The 23430-nt window shown below is 43.3% G+C and overlaps 1 protein-coding gene across 12 annotated transcripts in view; it reads left to right on the forward strand.

Moving 5' to 3' along the window:
• Positions 1 to 23430, forward strand: part of TULP4 (TUB like protein 4) — a 279634-nt gene that overhangs the window by 23978 nt on the left and 232226 nt on the right. For 2 of the 12 annotated variants that reach the window (XM_047419081.1, XM_047419086.1), the window contains exon 2: positions 11062 to 11100. The exons of 9 other annotated variants lie outside the window; for them this stretch is intronic. The gene's annotated coding sequence lies outside the window, so the exon portion shown is untranslated. Of the gene's footprint in view, positions 1 to 6472; positions 6653 to 11061; positions 11101 to 22580; positions 22664 to 23430 lie in introns of all 12 variants that reach the window. One more of the 12 variants, XM_047419082.1, reaches the window with a different exon arrangement.

The following is a 23430-nucleotide window of genomic DNA, read 5'->3' on the forward strand; positions in this document are numbered from 1 at the left end:
AAGGCTTTGGTGATTAGTAGGTGTGTCCAGAAAGCACAGAAGAGCATCTTTGCTTGGAATCTGATGAAGTGAACAGCCCAGATTGTTTTCTTTTTTCTTTGCCAGTGCGTGCATGTGTGTATGTGTTTCTGTATGTATGTATATATATAACTTCTGTGTGTGTGTGTATACGTGGTATGTATACTAACATGTACACACATATACCACACTCACACAGGCAGCTTTCATGTTTTCTACTTTAAGGGTAACTTGTGAACATCCTGTTGTTCTCTAAGTCTTTGATCACTTCAATAAAAAAGTTGCAGCCGAGAAACCAAGAAACCTGTTGGCGGTTATAAAAACAAGATTGGTGGTCTTATTGTAAATAAAATGTTGAGGATGTATTAATATGTCTGAAATTGAACTTTTTAGCATTTCCAAAAGTTTTCCTTTAGATTTGATATAAGATCTGCTCTCACTCTTATACATATGGATATATTAGCAAAACTGGATTACAGCCCAGTGTAATCAGGCAGGGAACCTGTCTGAACCATATAGTGGAACTGCAATGAAAAGCTACAGTATTCTTGTAATTATATTAGGACGTGATGTCGTCCCTCCCTATGTTTATTAATTAGTGGAGTTGTAATGAGACTTCCCCCCTATGCTTTTAAGGATGCTGATCAGTGGGTATCCAGGCAGGATTTTAGTTGTGTTTGGGAGCCTTCTGTGTAAAGGTGGGAGGGATTGGTGTTTCAGGTGGCAGCAGGTGAGCCTCCTGCCAAGTTGGCATAATGGGAACAGGACTCTCCTGAGCTGCCATCTGTTTGTGGCTGATAGGAAACCAGCAGTGATTTCTGAGGAGTGAGGAACTGTTCCATTTATGTTGAAATATTTAGAAATTAGTAATGTTAAGACCGTGCTGATCAGGCTTAGTAGCCTGATCTCCAACCAGGTTAGTAGGTTGGAGAAAATGGACTGTGGAGTGAGTTTTTGTTGTTACTCATTTCAGAAGATGCCTACTTTGTTTGACAACCCCTGCCCCCTCTCCCTCCCAAAAAACAAAAAGCCAGGACTCTGTTCGTTTCTGCCCACCCAGACTCACCACTCAGGTCAGCCTCAGCTCTGTGCTTAGTTGCCTCAGGCCAGGGAACATGTTATTTATACGGCTGTCACATGTACACTGCCTGTGGTGTGTTTGCAATGGAGGGAATTCAGTCTGTCTCAAACTCTTATGATGTGTCTTTTTAAAAAAGTGTGGTAAAATATACATAACAAAATATATTATTGTAATCATTTTTCAATGTACAGTTCAGGGCCATTAAACAACATTTATATTGTTGTGCAGCCGCCATGGTGTGTCATGTTTCAACCAGGTGCTTTCATGGACTTTAAAAATAACGGTTGCTTCTTCTGTATGATGAATCATCAGCATGTTTTCTCTAATATGATGTCCCTTTGGTTTTGCAGCTTGCATTTACTTCTTTCCTGTAGGAGTTGATTAGGTGAATGGAGGTGCTGTGCCCACATTTCTTCTGGGTTTGATTTGCTGCCCTTGCAGCTGGGGAAGCTGTACCCTCCATGTATGTTGTCTCTGATGGTATCCTGAAAACTTTACTTTGTCTCCCCCATATTATACTCTCAAAGCAGCGGTACGAAATAGAGAACAACTCATTTCCCCTTTAACCTAGCATTAGTTGGTAGGTTGGCTGGAGGAGTTAAGTCTGTGGCCCAAGGGCCTACCAGAAAGTTGCTGTGGAGCGCTGCAGTGGCCTGGTGTGGAGCTGCAAGTTAGGGTTCTGTGGTCTAAGCCCTGCCACGGGAGCAGGTTCCAAGGGGTGGCTGATCTCTTTTTGGCTCTAGGACTCTGCTGGGTTCAGTCAACCACCTGTAGGTTTCTATCTTGCCTCTTTCAAAACAATCAGCGGAAAGGACTGTAGAACCCTCTATTAGTCAGGGGATTCTTGGTTACTGGTGAAAGAGACCTAACTCAACTAACACAAAAAAAGGGAATTCGTTGGAAGGATTCTGGGCTGTCTACGGAATCCAGGTCAGGAGCCAGGGATTGGGCTAGGATGCTGCATGGATGGGGCCAGGAGGACACTCTTTCTTTCTCTCTTTTGTCTTCTGCCTCTTTTCCAGCTGTCCACTCCCTCAGTGTTTCTGAGTTATTCCTTTTCTGTCATGGACCAGCAGTCTCTGCTGTTTGGTCCAGGTGGCACAACATGGCTGCCAGCCCCATGTTTTTCATATTATGACCCAGGTGTCCAGAGAGAGACTATTTTCTTTGTGTTCCAGAATTTCCAGGGAAGAGCTGATGAGTTGGTGTAGAAAATAGTGACTTCCATGGTAATGGTGGGAGGATGGAAGCCATTAAGGAAGTCGTTGAGGTTCAGCAGAAGGTCCGTCCTTGCTGCAGTTTATAAAAATGTTAGAGACACCACTCCAACAGTTAACAAATAGGAAAGGACCTGGGCTGTGAAAGCTCTGAAGCCTTGCATTAAAATTTAAAGCAAAACAAAACAATCAAATAAAAAACTAAATTAAAACAAAATGCCGCCATCACCAGTGCTAACAAAAAATCCTTCAAGATTGAAAATTTGAACCTGCTGAACAAATTCGGAAGCTGCTTTTTGTAAAATCAAATTTCTTTTTTAGTAAAATAAATTATAGCTTATTTTCACGTCAGCATTATTTGAGCTTAGAGAAATTGTGGCCAAAGTTTAACCAAGCAGGGTAGCTTGACATGGGATATATATACCTGAAAAAACAGGATAAATATAAATATTCTAAATTTGCCAGGTATAGTGGCTCATGCCTGTAATCCCAGCACTTTGGGAGGCTGAGGCGGGTGGATCACCTGAGGTCAGGAGTTCGAGAACAGCCTGGCCAATATGGTGAAACCCCACCTCTACTGAAAATACAAAAATTAGCCAAGGGTGGTGGTGCGTGCCTGTAATCCCAGCTACTCGAGAGGCTGAGACAGGATAATCGCTTGAACCCGGGAGGTAGAGGTTGCAGTGAGCCGAGGTTGCGCCATTGCACTTCAGCCAGAGCTTGCTGTTAGAAGGCCCTTTTCTAAAATCTACTAATTTCATATTATAATTTGAATTTTCACTTAAATTAGTGTGTGCCAGTGGATCTGTCCTCCCTTGCTGTCATTGTATCTCATCAGGGTCACTGATTCATTGTTAGATCACATACTCCACTGACTTTTGAGGTTATGAAAAATAGCTCTTCCTCTTATGGTTGTTTGGTTATGCACATAGATATCTTCTGTGATTTTGAGAACTCTATGGAATTCAGTTGGGATTGAATATTCTGTGTGAATTGTGAACCTGTATGCAGTAATCCAAGGTGAATTGAAAGCATCATTTATTTATCGCAGTTTTGAACCACTATTAACTAAATATCCGAACAGTGGCTAAGAGGTCATAATGCTTTGACACCAGTGCTCTAACACCAGCTTGGTGTCACTTCAACTCGGTTCTGACACCAACCACCTGAACTGAATGTCAGACATGAGTTCTGCAAGGCTGCTCTCATGGCAGATACCAATTGCAAGTCTTCATGCTACCTGGACTTCTGACCAACTGGCTGTAAATTTGGGGATTCCACCACCTTGTCAGTTTTGATAATTTGCTAAAACAACTCACTAAACTCACAGAAGATGGTTTTATGATAAAGGATACAACTCAGGAACAGCCAAATGGAAGAGACACATAGGGCAAGACCTGGGAGGGTCCTGGATGCCGAGCTCCCATGCCATGGAGTCAGGGGCATCACCCTCCTGGCACATCAATGTATTCATCAGCCAGGAAGCTCTTTGAGCTCAGGTGTTTATCGTATCAGGGTCTTATGACATCGTTGGTCATGTGATTGAGCTCAGTCTCCAGCCCCTCTTCTTCCCAGAGGTCAGGGGTGGGAATGGAAGTTCTGGCCCTCTAATCATATGCTTGGTCTTTCTGGAATGGCCAGCCCATCCCTTGAAATGCTCTAAGGGCCCACCCTCTGTCACCTCATTAGTGCAGACTCAGATGTGGTCAGAAGTGACTCTTCACAGATAACAAAAGACACTCCTGTCACCCAGAACATTCTAAGAGTTTTCGGAGTTCTGTGCCAGGAACAAGGGCAAAACCCAGATATATTCTTTCTACCACATCCATGATTTAGATAAAACTTGGGTTCTTGCAGGAAGTTTCTGAGGATATTAAGATGTTCATGACCATCCTGGCTAACACGGTGAAACCCCGTCTCTACTAAAAATACAAAAAATTAGCTGGGCGAGGTGGTGGGCGCCTGTAGTCCCAGCTACTCGGGAGGCTGAGGCAGGAGAGTGGCATGAACCCGGGGGGCGGAGCTTGCAGTGAGCAGAGATCACGCCACTGCACTCCAACCCGGGCAACAGAGCGAGACTCTGTCTCAAAAAAAAAAAAAAAATGTTCATTAGTGTTTAAGCCTTCTGCATAAGGATGACAGTTGATGCTGAAGGAGATCGCCTAGGCAGAGTGAGGGGAGAAGAGGGATTTAGATAGAGTTCTGAGAAATGCCAGCATTTGAGCAGTGAGTAGAGGATGAGGGGCTGGGGAATGCCTGGGGAGGTGGAAGGGACACAAGGAGAACTGGCTGTCATCGACGCCTGGGGAAAAGTGTATTTCTTTTCTTTTCTTTTCTTTTTTTTTTTTGAGACAAGAGTTTCGCTCTTGTTGCCCAGGCTGGAGTGCAATGGCGCAATCTCGGCTCACTGCAACCCCCGCCTCCCAGGTTCAAGTGATTCTCCTGCCTCAGCCTCCCGAGTAGCTGGGATTACAGGTGCACACCACCACGACCGGCTAATTTTTTGTATTTTTAGTAGAGATGGGGTTTCACCATGGCCAGGCTGGTGTTGAACTTCTGACCTCAGGTGATCCGCCCGCTTCAGCATCCCAGAGCGCTGGGAGTATAGGAGTGAGCCACTGTGCGCGGCTGAAAAGTGTATTTCTAGATCAGTGCTCTCCAGGAGAATTTTCTGGCATGATAAAAACCATCTATATTGTTGTGCAGTAAGGTAGCTACCAGGCACGTGGAGGCTGTTGAGCAGTTGAAATGCAGCTAAGGCAACTGAGAAACATAATTTATATTTTTGTTTAATTGTACTTAATTTAACCATATGTGGCTAGTGACTACCATTTTGTACAGTGCAGTTTGATTTGAGGACATGGTCAGTGGGTTAAGAAGCATAAGCGCTACAAGTACACTTTTTCCTTTCAGCCATCACGCTCTAGGGCTGAAGTTTTAGAGTAGCTTAAGACTGTAGGATATTCCCCGCAGATAACTTAGGTAATTGGGAGCAGTCTCGGAACCTCTTGGGACCTGGTAAATGTCTTGGGCTTCAAGGGTAAGATCCAATTATTCAAATACTTAATGAACATAAATGTCAAAATGAGACAGTGATTTGATTGATGGAGAGTCTTAAAAAATAAAGGCGAGGGATATGAATTTCTTTAACGTGCAGGGTTCAGCTGCATGTAACAGAAAACTCAGGCGGCTCATACAAAATGAATGTTGACTGTTCATGTAGCGGTCTGGAGGCTGGTGGGCGTGGGCTGGTTGCATGGCTCCTGCTGATCAGGGTTCCAGGATTCCTCCGCCTTTCTCTTTCACCATCTTTAGCCTCAGAGTTCCTCACAGTGTATGATGGCTGCTGGAGCTCAATAATCACACCATGACCAGGCAGGAGGAAAAGAGAGGGTGGGAAGGGCAAAGGACTCATCTTCCAGATGAGCTAGACCCCCTTAAAGATCTTTCCTGGAAGCTCCCTCTTCACCTAACAACTTGACTTTCTGTTATGCTTCATCAGCAACAACTACATGTGAGGCGGGGAAATGAGTCCTTGATCTGGGCATTTTGCTGCCCCAAATAAAACCGGGATTCTGTTGGTGAGGAAGAAAGGGAGACTGGACACTGGGTAGAGGGCTGGCAGTCTCTGCCTTGGTGTGGAAAGGGTGCACCTCCATGCATATGGGAGAAGCACCAGTGCCTTCATTCCCTGACATCGTGTCCCTGAAGGCACCTGCTGTCACAAACACCACACCATCATTCCCACTCAGCCTCCGCAGGTTTCTCTGCAAGCTCCTTTGTAGGTTGGCGCAGCTTTGACAACATCCCTTTTGGTTCTCAGAGCTCTTCTGGAGACTTTAGTTGTGGGCTGCCTGCTCCTTAGGTTCAAGTAACTGGTAACACGCCTACGGTGCTGAGTGCTCCCTGGGAGAGCGTGTGAATCAGAGGTCAGTTTCAGAGGCACATTCTCAGGGGTCGTATTCTTCACCCAGGCCAATGACCACTGAAGTCTTCCTGCACATTGTTCTTTGCAGGGACAGCTAGCTGCTGGGCACAATGGGGCACAAACTGGATAAGGCTCCTGCCCATTCAGGAGCTTAGGTCAGTAATTTTCCTAGTTCTTCTGCAAAGAATTGAACTGTTACCCCTCCCTGCATTCTGTTATCCTTTTCAGTGAGGATTCCGGAAGAGTCTGAGAGAAGGCTGGAAGAAGGCTGGAGGGTGGTGTCATGGGATGCATGTGCAGATTCAGAAGTGGCAGGTGCAGAAGAAGAGCATCCAGGACAAGCAGCTGTCTCTATGCCACATCATTTGGCACCCTGCGATGTCACCTTGCTTTTCAGGAGTGCAGCCGGTTGTGGACATTTTGGAATTGTTTTGCTTTTGGAATGGGTGTTGGGGTGAAGCATTCTTCTGCTGGGTTTTCAGATGTAGCTCTAACTAGCCACATCACTTCAGCCAAGTCATTTCTCTCTGGGACCCGTCATCATCACTCATAATAATACCATATGTGTGGAGGTTGAGGGCAAGGAAGTAAAACAGATGTGTCTGTATCTTTGTGTCCCTGTGTCTGTGTATGATTGATGTGCCAGACTGAACATCCTACCCGTTTAAATTACCTGTGGTACTTCAGAAACCTGCTGCCAGTTTGTTAGAATATTTTTAGGTTGACATAAGATCGTTTGTTTAGCCTTTCAGCAGCTTAGCATTTTTGGATTTAATATCAGGACTTGAACTGTTGAACAGTAACCCCTGAAAGGCCACGACAGGTTGTTAGTAACTTGACTGAAGCACTAATTACAACTGGGCCTAAGCTGGGAGACTGTCTCCTAAGAACTAGACACTCATGGAGTGAATGGCTAAGTGAGCCTAGCCAACCACTTAACGTTTCAACCTCAAGTTGGTTTTATTATCCTCTGCTTAATTTATAAATAGTAACTCCTGAGCTGCTAAAGACTTTATTCCTTTGTGAAAAATACTCTAGAGAAGAAAGGCAATTATTAGTGCTATTGATGGAGGTAAATATTCTGAGGGTTATTAGCCAGAAAATAGAAATTTTGGCTAAATTAATAGGTATTAAATTTGGTAGTGGCTTGGGTCTGTAGTGGAATGAAGCTATCAAAAAGAAAAAACTAATTAGCTGGGCGTGATGGGATGTGCCTGTCTTCCCAGCTACCCGGGAGAGTAAGGTGGGAAGATCGCTTGAGCCTGAGAGGTTGAGGTTGCAGTGAGCCATGTTTGCACCACTGCACTTCAGCCTGGGCGACAGAGGGAGACCCTGTCTCAACAACAACAACAACAGCAACAACAGGCTGGGCGCGGTGGCTCATGCCTGTAATCACAGCACTTTGGGAGGCCTAGGCGGGCGGATCACCTGAGGTCAGGAGTTAGAGACCAGCCTGGCCAACATGGTGAAATCTCGTCTCTACTAAAAATACAAAAATTACCTGGGCGTGGTGGCAGGTGCCTGTATTCCCAGCTACTGGGGAGGCTGAGACAGGAGAATTGTTTGAATCCAGGAGGCAGAGCTTGCAGTGAGCCAAGATTGCACCACTGCACTCCAGCCTGGGGGATAGAGTGAGACTCTGTCTCAAAAACAAAAAAACAAAACAAAAAGCCAGAATAAAGAAAAAACTTAACAAAATTTTACTCATGAAGTAAAAGACAAAAACTTCAGTGAAATTTATGCAGCCTGTGGGGTTGGGCAGGCGCAGAGGAAGTGCGGCCTTAACAGAATCACGTTCAGGAAAAGCGCAGGAGCCCATTCAGAGGTTTTTACGGGCTCTGAGGTGGTGAGGGCAGTGGCGTGTGTCGTTGCTTAAATGAACTTCAATTTGAAGAAAGATTGCTCTGATATTTCTGGGAATTAGTGCCATTTGAGAATTTCGGAATTTATACGTATGTTGGTTTGTCATCTTCATACCAAAATCTACTTTATTTGCACATCAGTCATAAAGGTGTTTTACCCATTTGGCTTATTTGTGTGTTTAAAATTAAAACTCAAGCCATTTTCCCTCTCCAGAAAATGTGACTTGTGTAGTATGACATCTTACTGGAGTTGGGGGAAGGCTTGGTGGGCACCTGAATAAACATCGATCTGGGGAAGATGCACCTGGAGGGCTGCCTGGACAAGTCCCTGACGCTACTAGATTGCCTACTTTCAAAGGACTAGGAAACATTTTTTCAGCTTTAAAAGATTTAAAAGCCGGTGATATTTCAGAATAGTGCTGAAAGAGCCCTGCTGTTGAATGAACATTGGGAGCACCGCATGTGGGTTGTGGCAAACCCTTTATCCCATGAGGCCCTCTCTTCTCCATGCCTCTAAGTTCTACAGACCATCAGTGCCGCCCCTGAAATGTCCTGTCTTAAATAGAATGCCTTGAACCATACCTCTGCATCAAAAATGTGGAGCCGGGGGAGCTCCAAGGACTGGGGATTCTCTGTGCCTTCAAAATGACAAGTTAGAAGTACTAAGGTAAAAGCAGAAAAGCATCTGTGAGGGACTAACTTCAGGTGGTGCCTCTGACAACACAGAGCAGTCAAGTTACTACTGTGCATTTAACAGGGCACACCTTTTAGCTCTGAAAGAACCTTAACTTTTTCAGTGCTTCTTTACCAGCACTGTCACCACTGGTCTTTACAGCGTTCTTAAGAAAGGGCAGAGCAGATAGTCTGTTCACTTGCAGATGGGAAAGCTGACTTTCGGGGAGCTGAGCCCCATGCCAGGTCTCTCAGCCAGGAAATAGCAGGTTAGCCAGAACCTGTCTTCTGATTCCTGGTCTGATTCTTTTTCCATTTCACTTTCCCCACCCCTCCTTTTTAAAATAAATTTTATTTTATGACAACTTTACTTACTTGCTTATTTAGAGCTTAACCTTCTCCCACAAAACATTTGAGGTGGCTTAAATGTAGTGGCTAAAGAGGAAGTTGGCCAGGTGGGGTGGCGCACCCCTGTAATCCCAGCACGTTGGGAGGCCGAGGTGGGCAGATCACGAGGTCAGGAGATCGAGACCAGCCTGGCCAACATGGTGAAACCCCCGTCCCTACTAAAAGAAAAAAAAAAATTAGCTGGGCGTGATGGCATGCCTGTAGTCCCAGCTACTTGGGAGGCTGAGGCAGGAGAATTGCTTGAACCTGGGAGGCGGAGGTTGCAGTGAGCCAAAATCGTGCCACTGCACTCCAGCCTGGTGACAGAGCAAGACTCCATCTCAGAAGAAAAAAAAAAAAAATTTTGGCTCAAGTAAGGCAAATACTTTTTTTTTCTTAAGCATTGAGAATGAGGATAAGAAGAAAGCTGTTTCTTTGATTAAACTTAAATCTTACCTGTGTGCCCAGACCTCCCCACCAGTTCTTAGATCATTGGACAGCACCCCCAATATTAAGCATGTATAAAACTTTTGTATTTCACTCCAAATTCAGGATGCCATGAATGGAGAAAGGAGTAACACATGAGGGAGCTTCGTGGTTATAGCCATATTGCCTTTACCTTTTTGGTATTATACTTACTGTATCATATTTTGCTATTTTTGTGTGTTTAAACATGAAAAGTAGTAAAATAGTACATTTGTAAAAGGGGGAAAATCACCCCTAGCTTCCACCATTGTTATAACTCTTAAGCATAGCATTCTCTTGAATTCTTTCCTCATAGGCACTTTTTTCCAAAAAGTTCTAAGCAACATTTTAAACACTGTTGGAAGCTTTTAAAATTTAACATAGCATAAGCATTTTTCATGTTTTAAAGTGGTTTTCATAATTATACTTCTTTTTGAAAAATTTTTTATTGTGATAAAATTTACTTTTTTTATGGAGACAGGGTCTCACTCTTATCCAGGCCGGAGGGCGGTGATGCAGTCACGACTCACTGCAGCCTTGACGTCCCGGGTTCCAGCGAATCTCATGCCTCAGCCTTCCCAGTAGCTGGGACTACAGGCACGTGCCACCACGCCCAGCTAATTTTTGTATTTTTTGTAGAGACATGGTTTCACCTTGTTCCCAGGCTGGTTTCGAACTCCTGGGCTCTAGCAATCTGCCCATCTTGGCCTCCCAAAATGCTGGGATTATAGGTGTGAGCCACTGTGCCCAGCTAAAATGTACCATTTTAACCATTTTAAAGTATATAGTTGGCTCTACATATCCGCAGGTTCTGCATGTGAGGACTGAAAACGTTCAAAGAAAAAAAATACAACAAAAATATAGTAGAACAATAGCATTTACGTTGTATTAGGTAATATAAATAATCTAGAGATGATGTATATGAGGGATGCATATGGGTTATGTGCAAATAATATGCCATTTTATATGAGAGACTTGAACATTTAAGGATTTTTTTATCTACATGGGTCCTAGAACCAACCCCCATCGATATTGAGGGACAACGGTATAATTCAGTGGCATTAAGTACGTTCCTGTTGGTGTACAGCCATCATCGCTATCCATCTCCAGAACTTTTGTTCATCTTCCCAAACTGAAACTCTGTGCCCATCAAACACTTCCCTTTTACCCCTTCCCCAGCCTCTGATAACCACCATTCTATTTCTGTGTCTATAAATTTGACTACTCTAGATACCTCATATTAGTGGAATCATAAAATATTTGTCTTTTTATATCTGGCTTATTTCACTTAGCATGATGTTCTGAAGGTTCATCCATGTTGTAGCATGTGTCAGAATGTCCTTCCCTTTCAAGGCTGAATGATATTTCATTGTATGTCAATACACATTTTGTTAACCCATTCATCTGGGTTTTTTTCTTTCTATAATCCAGGACAGTGCTGAAACCCATTCATCTGTTGATGGACACCGGGTAATTAAACTTTTTGAAGACATAATAGGCCATCAAGTAGATAAATCATACTAGAAGATGCAATTTTTGCCCTCAAAGAATACTGAAGTTGATATGCCAACATGTCAAACACAGAAGATGAAAGCAACTAAGTGATGTGAGAAGTCAGTGTGGGTTCATACAGAGTAACCAAAGGAGGTTGTCCTTGCCTTTCATCTAGTTGTTAGACTGAGGGAGGGTAGGACCTGGGAGGATTCCAGAAGAAGGTCTTCAGTTTGATTTCTGACCCTCCCACTTCTGTTGCTCTGTTAGGCCTCTGTGTACAGTTAGCAGCCATCTCATAGTAAATCTTCCAAATAATTAGGAGGGTCACTGCTTTGTCAGGACAATTTATACCCTTTCTCAATTAGCAAATTGTGTGGCAATCCAAAGTTAACTGGAGTGTTGCTCCCCTTTTCTATTTTGCTCCCGTGTGGATGTGGTGCAAGAAGGCCTGCCAAGGTCAGCCTCCCGTTTTCCTCCGTGGGTTGGTATAGACATGTTTGTTGGCCAGACATTGCCTAAAGCCCTGTAGTCAAGGGTGGTGTGCTTGCATTTGCCTGGCTGAATTAAGGCTCTTGGTGCTTTTCTATCAGTCGAATCCCTTCTCCTCCATGTCTTCTAGAAATTGAGAAGGGTTTATCAGTGGTACCTCACTCTGTTTTCCACAGGTTTTTAAAATTTTTTTTTGTTCTTTTACATTTGTTTGATCTTTTCTTTTCTTTTCTTTTCTTTTTCTTTTTTCTTTTTTTTTTTTTTTTTGAGACGTACTTTTGCTCTTGTTGCCCAGGCTGGATTGCAGTGGTGCGATCCTGGCTCACCACAACCTCTGCCTCCTGGGTTCAAGCGATTCTTCTGCCCCAGCCTCCCGAGTAGCTGGGATTACAGGCATGCACCACCACACTTGGCTAATTTTTTTTGTATTTTTAGTGGAGACGGAGTTTCTCCATGTTGGTCAGGCTGGTCTTGAACTCCCAACCCCAGGTGATCCGGCCACTTCTGCCTCCCAGAGTGCTGGAATTACAGGTGTGAGCCACTGCACCCGGCCTTGTTTGATCATTTTAATGGGACTTTGGGGAGAGGGATAAGGTAAACAGATGGCTCATTCATCATCCTGAATTTATTTTTGTGTACTATTTATTGTCTTAGTCTGTTTGGCTGCTATAACAAAATACCTTAGACTGGGTAATTTATAAACAGTAGAAATGTGTTGCTCACAATCCTGGGAGCTGAGAAGTCCAAGAGCAAGGCACCAGTGGACTTGTTGTCTGGTGAGGGCTTGCTTAATCACTTCCCAAAGGCCCCACCTCGTAATGCTATTACATTTGGTATTAGGTTCCAACATAGGAATTTTGGGGGGACACCAACATTTGGATCATAGCAATTACATTTTCCTATTTTACTGAACTCTTAATTGTTCTGATTTCATTTGATTCTGTTGGGTTTTCCAGATGGAAAATTATATTACTTACAAATCAGGGTGATTTTTGGCTCTATTTTTATATGACTTTTTTCTATTTTTATATGACTTTTTTTCCTGTTGTAATATTTTGCTTGTAATTTCTAGAATGATACTGAATAGCACTTTTGGTGAGCATCTTTGGCTTAATCCTCCCTTTAGCCTTTAGCACTGTTGGCTTTAGTCACTTTCTGCATATTGCCAAATTGCTTTTTGGAAAGCTGCACTAGAATTGGAGAGTGCTTGTCACCCATGTCCACACCCAAGCTTAGTGACCAGAGCATTGTGAAGGGTCTTTCCAATTTGTGGCTCTTGTCATTTTAAAATTAAATTTGGGTTTGCCATTTATTATTTTTTTCTAGAAATTCTCGAGTCTGAGAATATGAGAATAGAGTTGGCCTAGGTTCATACATTGTTTTGTTCTCACCAGATAATTACACAACTTTTTCTTCCTATTCCAAAGTAACAGTGTTGTGGAGTGGAAATTACTGTTGTTAATTTTAGCACCATAGTTTGGTGGAAAAAAGTATGGGTCTTGGAGCCAGATATCAGAACTAAGCTATGTCACTAATAGCCTAGTGACTTTTCATAACCTTACTTAAACTCTTTGAACTTTAGTTTCAGCATTTGTAAAAAAAAAAAAAAAAAAAAGGATTTTCCTGTCTCACTGGGAGACTGAGAACATGGAGTAAGATGCAAAGTGGGCCCTTCCTTAGTAATGGAGAAATCATTAGCATTCACATACAAGGCCATTCAGCAAGAATTCGTTGCCATTTGAGATTTTGATAGACTTTAATTTTGATCAGAGATAATTTTAACCTTTTTTTCTCCGTGATTCTTCATCCCTGATTTCCAGATGGAATCAGGGTCAATGATAATTGTCTCTGCATATTTCTTTAATAATCTATTTTATTCCAGATTTTAAACATTGCTTAATGGGTAGAATATAAATGAAATTGCAAAAGCAATGTCCAACATTTATTTAGCACTTTACTATGTGGGCAGGTAATTAAGTACTTGACATATGTTTATTTAGTCTTCCCAACATTCCTACTTCTTGGGAAATGAAGGTGTTTGAAAAGTTACCCAGTCAGGTGGTGGGAGAGCCAGGCCCGGTGCCCGGCAGTCTTGCTGCTGAGCTGCTGTCACTGTTCTGCCTTTGTGGTCTTCACAGGGTTGCTCCCTTTATTCCGTGTTCCTTAAGCCCATTTTATTGCTTCTAGATCTAGGAAAAAACAAAAACACTGAGTTTTTGAAAAGGCTAATTGTTTTAAAGTTAAATAGTAAGTGTCAAATGTACAGCATTCATATCTATTAAATATACGTTAATTCTACTCTGTAGCAGTAAGACCCTTTCCTATCCAGGCAGTATAATTAGATCTTCTATATATCTTTAATAGCCTTCTATTTATCTTAAGAACTCTGGCTTAATTTTCTCTTGGATTATTATAAAGTCTTCATTATTGAGATATTTTTGTCAGTAAATTGTCCTTACTTGGTCCAACTTGGAGCTCTCTTTCTTTGTTTTGCTCTTGCATCATCATCTGAAGACCCTACCTTGGCTTTATCCTGCCAGGGACCGGTCATTCCAGCAAGATTCTCTCAACTCTGCTCCACAGCACTTTTTTGGCTCTTGATTACAGGATTTACCTTGTAGTATTGAAGTTGGTTTATTTTGCCCATCTTCTCTCACTGTGTAGGGTGCTTCTCGGGGCTAGGGACTGGACTTCGATGAGTTTTGCATTGTCAGCACCCGGCCTGTTCGGCCTGTGGTGGGCACTCACTAAGTGTCTCTGGTACCGGGGCCGGTGATGGGCACTCAGTTAGCGTCTCTGGCCTGAGTGTTGCTTGGCTGCTTTCCTGGTTTGACACTGCACTTTAGACTATTGCAGCTAAAATTAACACACATCATCTGTTGATGTGATGCTTGCCTCCTTTTAAGCTTTTCTCAAGCTTTCAAAATTTCTTCCTGAAGTTTTTCCTTCACAGATGAAATTGCTCCTGAATTAGAGGTGATTTACTCCAGGCTTCCTTGTGCTTAAATGTGGCAACTTTCAAGGCTGCCTTCATTTTTGCCTCAGAGTTTATAAAGCAGCTTAGTGTGAATAGATGCTGTAGGGCCGGGCACAGTGGCCCATGCCTGTAATCCCAGCACTTTGGGAGGCTGAGGCAGGTTGATCACCTGAGGTCAGGAGGTCAAGACCAGCCTGGCCAACATGGTGAAACCCTGTCTCTATTAAAAATACAAAAATTACCCAGGCATGGTGGCAGGTGCCTATAATCCCAGATACATGGGAGGCTGAGGCAGGAGAATGGCTTGAACCCAGGAGGTGGAGGTTGCAGTTAGCCGAGATCGCGCCACTGTACTCCAGCCTGGGTGACAAAGTGAGACTCTGTCTCAAAAAAAAAAAAAAAAAAAAGATGCTGTACTGAGTTTATTTAATATAAGCAGTTTTATGTTAGTCACTGCTCTGTTGAGTTTTGTTTCATTTTCAATTGTTGCTTCTCATGTGGTAATGAAGAAAGCATTTAAAGGCCAAGTTAAGTGGGTGCCTAACCAAAATAGGTCCAGCTTCCTCAAGTTGTGTCATGACTTGTTGATGAGGAGGAAGGGCAAGGAGACATCTAACTCTCACAGGCTTTGTCTCTTGTAGCTCAGATAGGGTTTCTTTAATCCATTTTAGAATTTTTTTTTTTTTTTTGAGATAGGTTCTTGCTCTGCCACCCAGGCTGGAGTGCAGTGTGCCATCATAACTTGCTGCAGCCTCAAACTCCTGGGCTCAGGCGATCCTCCCACCTCAGCCTCTGAGTAGCTGGGGCTACAGGCGGGTCACCACATTTGGCAAATTTTTAAATTTTTTGTAGAGATGGGGTCTCACTCTGTTCCCCAGGCTAGTCTCAAACTCCTGAGTTCAAGCCATCCTCCTGCCTTGGATTCCCAAAGTGCTGGGATTACAGGCATGAGCCACCACGCCTGGCCCCACATTAAAAATTTTGAAACGGTAGCTTTGATTCAGGTGTAACTGTCCTCCTAAAGAAAAATAAAATGTTCTGAGAAGTTTTAGTTTAAAGTTGGAAAGCACTGAGAATAAATCTGTTTTGGGGGAAACATTGAAATGCTACGTTTGAAAATCTGTAGAATTTGCTTCAGGTGAGACAAAGGATGGGGTAAGTCATTGAAAGGACTCACTGGGACACATGTGCAGTGGAGGGTTTAAAAGTATTTGCGGAAAAATATTTAGAACGTTTAATTTCTAAATTAGAAATGTATGAGTGAATTTAGGGGGAAGGGGCTGGTTAAGTACCCAGGGATTGGTTCCACAGTTGCTGAGCATACACTGTCACCAAGTCAGATGTGGCTACTGTCCTCGGGGAGGTGACAGGTAGAGGAGAAAGCCTTATCCACTAGGTTTTAATTCAAGGTGCCAAGGACCATGTGATGTGGCAACAGGTGCATTTCAAGCATAAAGAGGTGGAATTTTTCAGTTGGGAATTACCAGTGGTCACCAATGTTTTTATCATCAGATTCTTTTTATATTTTCTTTCTTCCTCCCTTCCTGCCCCAATGGCTATGATCTTATTACTAGCCAAGAATTGTTGTTCAGTACAAGATAATGGTATTAATAGCTCGTATTTGTTTTTTATGCTTAATGTGAGCTGAATGAGGGAGAGGCTGGAGCTGAAGAAGAGGATCTGGCAGTGAGTGCTGTGGAACCTCAGCATCCCAGGCCAGCCAAGGCAGAGGAACAAGCAGAGGAGACAGAAAGAATCACAAGGGAGGAGGAAACTATCAGGAAGTTCCTTTAGAGAGCTTACAATTAACTCACTGAAATCCCTCCACAGCTGCCTGAGATAGGTTTTGTCATACCTCCATTTTACAGTTGGGGAAACTGAGACCTTGAGTAGTTAAGTAGCATAGCTCTAATGCAGGAAGTAGTCATTGACAGACCCAAGATTTGAAGTGAGGCTGTCAGCCTCCTGAGTTCCCCTTCTTAATCACTACTGCTTTCCAAGTTTCTAGAGTGTTTCAGTCAAAAACAAATGTGACAGTTAGGTTTGTGTAACTTTACTATAGTAGATGTGTAGTTCTCAATACATACTTTATCTTAGCTAGAAGGCTAAGGAAACGATCAATATGTGTTTTAAATATTGAAAAAGAGCTTATGGACTTTGATTATTGGGTTTGTAGATGCATAGAGATCTCATGACCTGGCTTTGGGAATCTGGTCCGATCTTGTCATTTTGCCTTTGGCGAAAGTGAAGGCCCTTGTTGAGGGACCTACCCGACACTTCACTGGAGCTTGAGCCTGGGTCTCTTGAGTCCAAGGACAGAGTTTTTCCCATTGTACTATGATGTCCTTGGAATGTGTGTTCTTCACACAGACAGTGTTGCCAGTGAAAGTTAGGGAAAGTCAAAATGGGTAAGATGCTAAAAGAACAGATAAGCTTCAGGAGCCACATCCAATGTCTTCATTGAACTGGACCTTTCTGCAGGCCCTCTCTTTGCTCAGGTGTTGAGACTCCCCTCTCTGTTGGTTTCCTCCTCCCTGTTCATTCTTCCTTCTCACCCTCCTCTGCTGGCTCCCTACCTTTATTTACCTGACGTGGGGTTCCACAGGGCTCACCACTAGAGCCTTTCCTCCATCCTCATCCTCCCTCACTGGGCTTAGTATGTTCTGTAGTTCTGTAGTTAAAACTGACCTTTATGTCGATGACACTGACTTATCTCCAGTCTATACTTTGACTCCGAGGTTCAGATGCAAGTGTCCAGCTATTTACTTGACCCTGCCATTTGGATGTCTCCTAAACATTGCAGACTCAACATGCCACATCTGCTCATGGCAACTCCATGCCCTGTCCCATTCTTCTTCAGCTCAATTACTGCCACCACCAATTGGGAATTATTCATAACTGTAATAGCTGACACTTACTGAGAGTTTATTATGTGCCGGCACTGCCTCAAAAATATTACACGAATTAACACAAATAATCTGTCTGGTCCTAACAATAGTACCATGAGGTAGGTTGTGGTAATAGTGATAGCTAATATAGCTCCTAGTATGTACCAGGCACAGTTTTAAGCATGTTACAGATATTAACTCATTGAATTCTTATCATAGATTCATGAGGTAGATACTGTTATTATCTCTAATTGATAGGTAAGAAAACTGAATTACAGAGAGATTAAGTTACTTGCTCCACGTCCCTCGGTTAAAACCTGCCTCCCGGGCTGGGTGCAGTGGCTCACACCTGTAATCACAACACTTTGGGAGGCCGAGGTGGGTGGATCATGAGGTCAGGAGTTCGAGACCAGCCTGGCCAACATAGTGAAACCCCATCTGTACTAAAAATACAAAAATTAGCTGGGCATGGTGGCGGGCACCTGCAGTCCCGGCTACTTGGGAGGCTGAGGCAGGAGAATTGCTTGAACCCGGGAGGTGGAGGTTGTAATGAGCCAAGATCACACCACAGCACTCCAGCCTGGGCGACAGAGTGAGAGTCTTTCTCAAAAAAACAAAAACAAAACAAAACAAAACACCACACACACAAACCAAAAGCCTGCCTCCCAGCTGCTCTCTTGTCCCTCTCTCTAATGAGCATCTTAGTGCTGGCCACCACCAGCTGTACCCGGATCACTGCAGCAGCCTCCTGCCTGTGCTTTCTGCCTTCACTCTGTCCTCTTCCACACAACAATGTTGTTCCTGAAATGAAAACCAGAACATTTCATTTAAACCTTCCAGTGGCGGCCGGGCGCAGTGGCTCACGCCTGTAGTCCCAGCACTTTGGGAGGCCAAGGCGGGCGGATCATGAGGTCAGGAGATCGAGACCATCCTGGCTAACACGTTGAAACCCTGTCTCTACTAAAAATACAAAAAAATCAGCCGGGTGTGGTGGCGGGCGCCTGTAGTCCCAGCTACTCGGGAGGCTGAGGCAGGAGAATGGCCTGAACCCAGGAGGCGGAGCTTGCAGTGAGCCGAGATTGCGCCCCTGCACTCCAGCCTGGGCAACAGAGCGAGACTCCGTCTCAAAAACAAAAAACAAAAAACCAAAACCTTCCAGTGGCTTCCCACTGCACTCCGAATAAAATATAAGCCCCTTTCTGTTGCCTACAGGCCGCTCCTAAGCAAACCCCCAACGTCCTGGTCTTTTCCGTATCCTCATACATGCCAGTCTTTCCTGCCTCTTGTTAGCCTTTTATTGATCTCTTCCATTTTGTTGTTCTCTCTGTTAGAATGTAAGCTCCCTGAAGGCTAGAGTTTGATCAGTGTAGAAAGAAATAAGTAAGAAATAAGAACAGGTTTAATTTTAGGCTATATCAGCATTCCATTTTGAAAATGTGTTCTGAGTTCCAAAAGAGCCAAATCTTACTAGACTGGAACACAGTCCAGTGCCGAGTTGTGGAGTGCTTGTATAGTTCTGCCACTGTCTGGAGCCCACGCGCTACAAGTGTCCCGCACAGTTGCAGCTGCTTTTTTTGTTGTTGTTGCTTTCCTCTTAGTCCTGCCCATCTTCTTCATTTGCCACGGTGTTTGAACTTCATGAGGCTGCTGCTGTCGAAACTGTGGTGATTCTGATGGTTCTGTGGATAGTGGAAGAAAACTGGCCAGGGACATACAGGGAGAGAAGCTGAGCCTGAGAGGGTTTGGCCATATTCCTGCCTGTGAAAGACCATGGGAGATGGTAATCTTCAAGGTCCCACACTGACCCTCACCAATTCATATTCTCCTGGCACTGATTTGCAAATTGAGCAACAAGTCTAGCCGTCTGGATGGCCACAGTTACTACTTTCTTTAGCTCTCAATGCCCATTCTAACCCACGGCAGCGCTTTGTCACTGTCCCTAGAGATTCCTTTGAACCCACCTTGATGTACATAACTACACTAATGGCAAGTTCTTTCATTTTCTTCAGTAACCAGACCTGTCAGCATGGAGCCCAAGGAAATAGGTCTTATGAGAATTTCTGTAGTAAGCAAAAACGTAGAATTTGGGGTAATATTAGTAAATAAACAATAACTTAGCAAATTAAGATCTTGTTTGTAGTTCTGCTGTGGAGGACAGTAACTCGTCATCTTATTTAAGACCCTGTGACTTTCAAAGAAGTGTCATTCTGTGAAAGTACTGAGGGAGGGTAGGCCCCTGCTGTGAATATAGGAGTATACAGTTCAGATATACTTTCTAAATATTGAGCAGGAGTAAAGACTGTAATAAACTAGGGAGACTTTTTCTTCTTTTTTTTGTTACGGCAGTCTTGCTCTGTCACTCAGGCTGGAGTACAGTGGTGCAACCTCAACTCACTGCAACCTCCGCTGCAAGAGTTTAAGCGACTCTCCTGTCTCAGCCCCCCAAGTAGCTGGGATTACAGGTGCGCGCCACCATGCCCGGCTAGTTTTTGTGTTTTTAGTAGAGACGGGGTTTTACCATGTTGGGCAGGCTGGTCTCGAACTCCTGACCTCGAATGATCTGCCCACCTTGGCCTCCCAAAGTGCTGGGATTACAGGCGTGAGCCACTGCGCCCGGCTGGGAGACTTTTTCTTCTTCCTTCTTTCTTCTTCTTTCTTTTTTTTTTTTTTTTGAGACAAGGTTTTGCTCTGACACCCAAGCTGGAGTGCAGTGGCATGATCATAGCTCACTGCAGCCTCAAACTCCTGGGCTCAAGTCATCCTCCCGTCTCAGTCTCTCAAGTAGCTGGGACTACAGGTGTGCAACCACCCCCTGGCTAATTTTTTTTTTTTTTATAGTAGACATGGAGTCTCACACTGGTCACAAACTCCTCCTTCTTCTAAAGCAACAAAAACGTGTTCTTAGTTGACAATGGAATGGTAAACATGACTCTCAGAACTGTTGTACTGAGTTCATAACTTATTTAGGTGACAGTAGGTCAATATAGATGGTGCCAGCTTGACACCCTTGTGTCATAGGGTCCCTTTGCCCAGCACTCTGTTTTTAAATTCAGAATAATTGGGAAGTGGTGGGTGCAAACCAGCACTGCCTTCTCTGCAGACCTACCAAGGTGTTATGCAAGCAGTATATTTACATAAATGTATATTGCATAAATATATAGTATATTTGCTAATAATAATACCAAGGTATTATGGAAATAGAGAAGGCCTAACTTATTAGAACCCACATGTTTGTTTGTTTGCCAAGACCTCTGCTGGTCTTCTTTTTTTTTGGTCTTTTTTTCCTTTTTTCTGTTTTTCTTTTTTGAGATAGGGTCTTGTTCCCGTTTCACAGGCTTAAGTGCAGTGGTGCAATCATGGCTCACTGCAGCCTCAACTTCCCAGGCTCAGGTGGTCCTCCCACCTCTGCTTCCCAAGTAGCTGGGACTACAGGCGCGTGCTACCACACCTGGCTAATTTTTTGTATTTTTATTAGAGACAGTTTTTCACCATTTTGCCCAGGCTGGTCTCAAACTCCTGGGCTCAAGCAATCTTCATGCCTCAGCCTCCCAAAGTGCTGGGATTACAGGCGTGAGCCACCATGCCCAGCCCTACAGCATCTATTTATGCTAGGTCTGTCTCTTGGTCTTGAATGTCATCTTTAATGACCTCTCAGTCAGGGAGGTCAGGAAAATGAGATTTCTTTGTAGCTATTAAAGAGTATCAGAGAAATTACTTTTGGTGTTGCAGCCCAAGTACATCATGGGTTAAAATGACTTTTACAGATTAGCCTGTGTAGCAATGATAATGCTTATGACATTACTTCTCTAGAAATATTTTTTCAGAATTCTGAACAACCTGTTTGTAAGAAGACTTTAACAACATAGTCCGTGGGTTAATTGGGGAGATTTATGTTAGGGCCACCAGGAGCAAGGATTAGCTTTGGCCACAGTAGCCAAAACAACTCTTGCCCCATCCCTCCCTCCTGCTCAGTGTGGCTCGTGTAGGTAGTTGTCTTGTTTCTAGTGTCACACTAGGCTTGGTTACACTGAGTTTCTGGTGGCCTGGAGGGTAACTTTTGGCCTTTGTGTGGAAGCTGTCACTTTGCACCTTAAATATCAGATCTTAATTCGGGGACTTCTTGAGATGATGTCCTTCAGTGATGCAGATATTCTGAAACAACTCCCTGTAACAGTCCCAGGTACCAGAGATATCCCTTCTTTTCTTTTTCTGGCAGCAGTAACCTTTGTGGTCTTTCTGGGCCATCTCAAGCTTGGCTTGAGGCAACTCTGTTTCCTTCACTCAGAGAGCATCATATCAACTCCCATCACCTCATCCCTGGAATTCTCTTGACTTCTTTTGCTGCTGTGGCCTTTGAACCAGAGCCCAGGCTCAAGCTTTTGTTGGGTTCTCTCAGCATAGGTGGAGGTGAATGTGGACTCCCTTCCTCTTGTGCTAAATTCATCATCATAGGCACGGAATAACTGGGCTTCAAGGGATCTTAAGTCTGTTGCATGTCGGTCAAGTGGACTGCCCTCTGTTTGCATTAGATGAAGTATTGGGGAAAGTGTAAGGTCTGTGTTTTCACAGCTCCTTTGAGACTGCTAAAGGTGTCTGGCCTGTACTGTGTGGTACAATGAGCTGTATTGACAATACAGCTTCACAAAGAGCAAGTCTAGTACTGTATCTTTCCATACAATTGTTTTGATGTAGTGCATTTTGTAGTGTTTAGAGGGGAAATGTAGAAGAAAATACTAGTTTTTTTTTTTTTTGGCTATATGCTTTAGTGTAAAATGATCCAGCACTTTCCAAAAGATATTTTTATTAGTAGTACTAAACTATTATCTGTATGCTCATGTTGATTAAATTGATCGAAAAGCTTAATTTTCAATACATATACTTAGATCTTTCCTAGAAAAAAATGTAATGTTAACTTTGATAATTCTTTTTGTTTGATGTTATTTGAGAACATTTTGACATCGTAAGTTGAGAAGAACAGTTGCTCTGATAATAGTGGGATTATTTTCTTCTTGATCATTTTACCTATTTTATTAGTTTATTTTGTTTTTTAATAGGTGCCAGCAAGTATTCTTTATTTGATTCTGATATTTTTCCCCTTTAAGCATCTTATTGAACAAATACTTTTAGAGGACCTCCTATGTTTAGGGCACTGTTGTAGAACCAGTGAAAGGAAGGAGAGCTGGAGGTAAGTTGCAGTCTCTATTTGGGGAGCTTTCCTGGGTGAGTTTAGCTTTCTTTACGTAGGCCCCATGGGGATCCAGAATACTGGCCATAGTTGTTGTTTTTTTTTGTTTTTTTTTTTTTTTTGAGACGGAGTCTCATTCTGTCCCCCAGGCTGGAGTGCAGTGGCGTGATCTCGGCTCACTGCAAGCTCCGCCTCCTGGGTTCACGCCATTCTCCTGCCTCAGCCTCCCGAGTAGCTGGGACTAGGCGCCTGCCACTATGCCCGGCTAATTTTTTTTTTTGTATTTTTAGTAGAGACAGGGTTTCACCATGTTAACCAGGATGGTCTCGATCTCCTGACCTCGTGATCCGCCTGCCTCGGCCTCCCTAAGTGCTGGGATTACAGGCTTGAGCCACCGCGCCCGGCCTGGCTATAGTTTTTGAAAATGTAGAACAATAAGTAGATATTCAGAATTCAGAACTTAAATTATATATGCTTTCTACCGTCTAGTTTAAACTTTTAAAAGATACTGTTAAATTCACACTTAAATTGCTTTAGTACGTCTTTATGATTTCAGCTCAAGTATGATAGAATGAAAATATGTTCTTTTCCCTTCACTGCTGTGTTCTGATCTTAATGTCATGGGAAGACGGTAATATTCTGTTTGACACTAATACATTTAGAAGATAATTTCTAGCCTCAGTTTATGATAGCTATGTACATTTATGAGGAAAATCTTTAACACATGGCTTACATCGTACAAAAATTAGTTTCAAATTACTTCATCT

This window comes from Homo sapiens, chromosome 6, assembly GCF_000001405.40.
Source record: "Homo sapiens chromosome 6, GRCh38.p14 Primary Assembly".
NCBI lineage: Eukaryota > Metazoa > Chordata > Mammalia > Primates > Hominidae > Homo > Homo sapiens.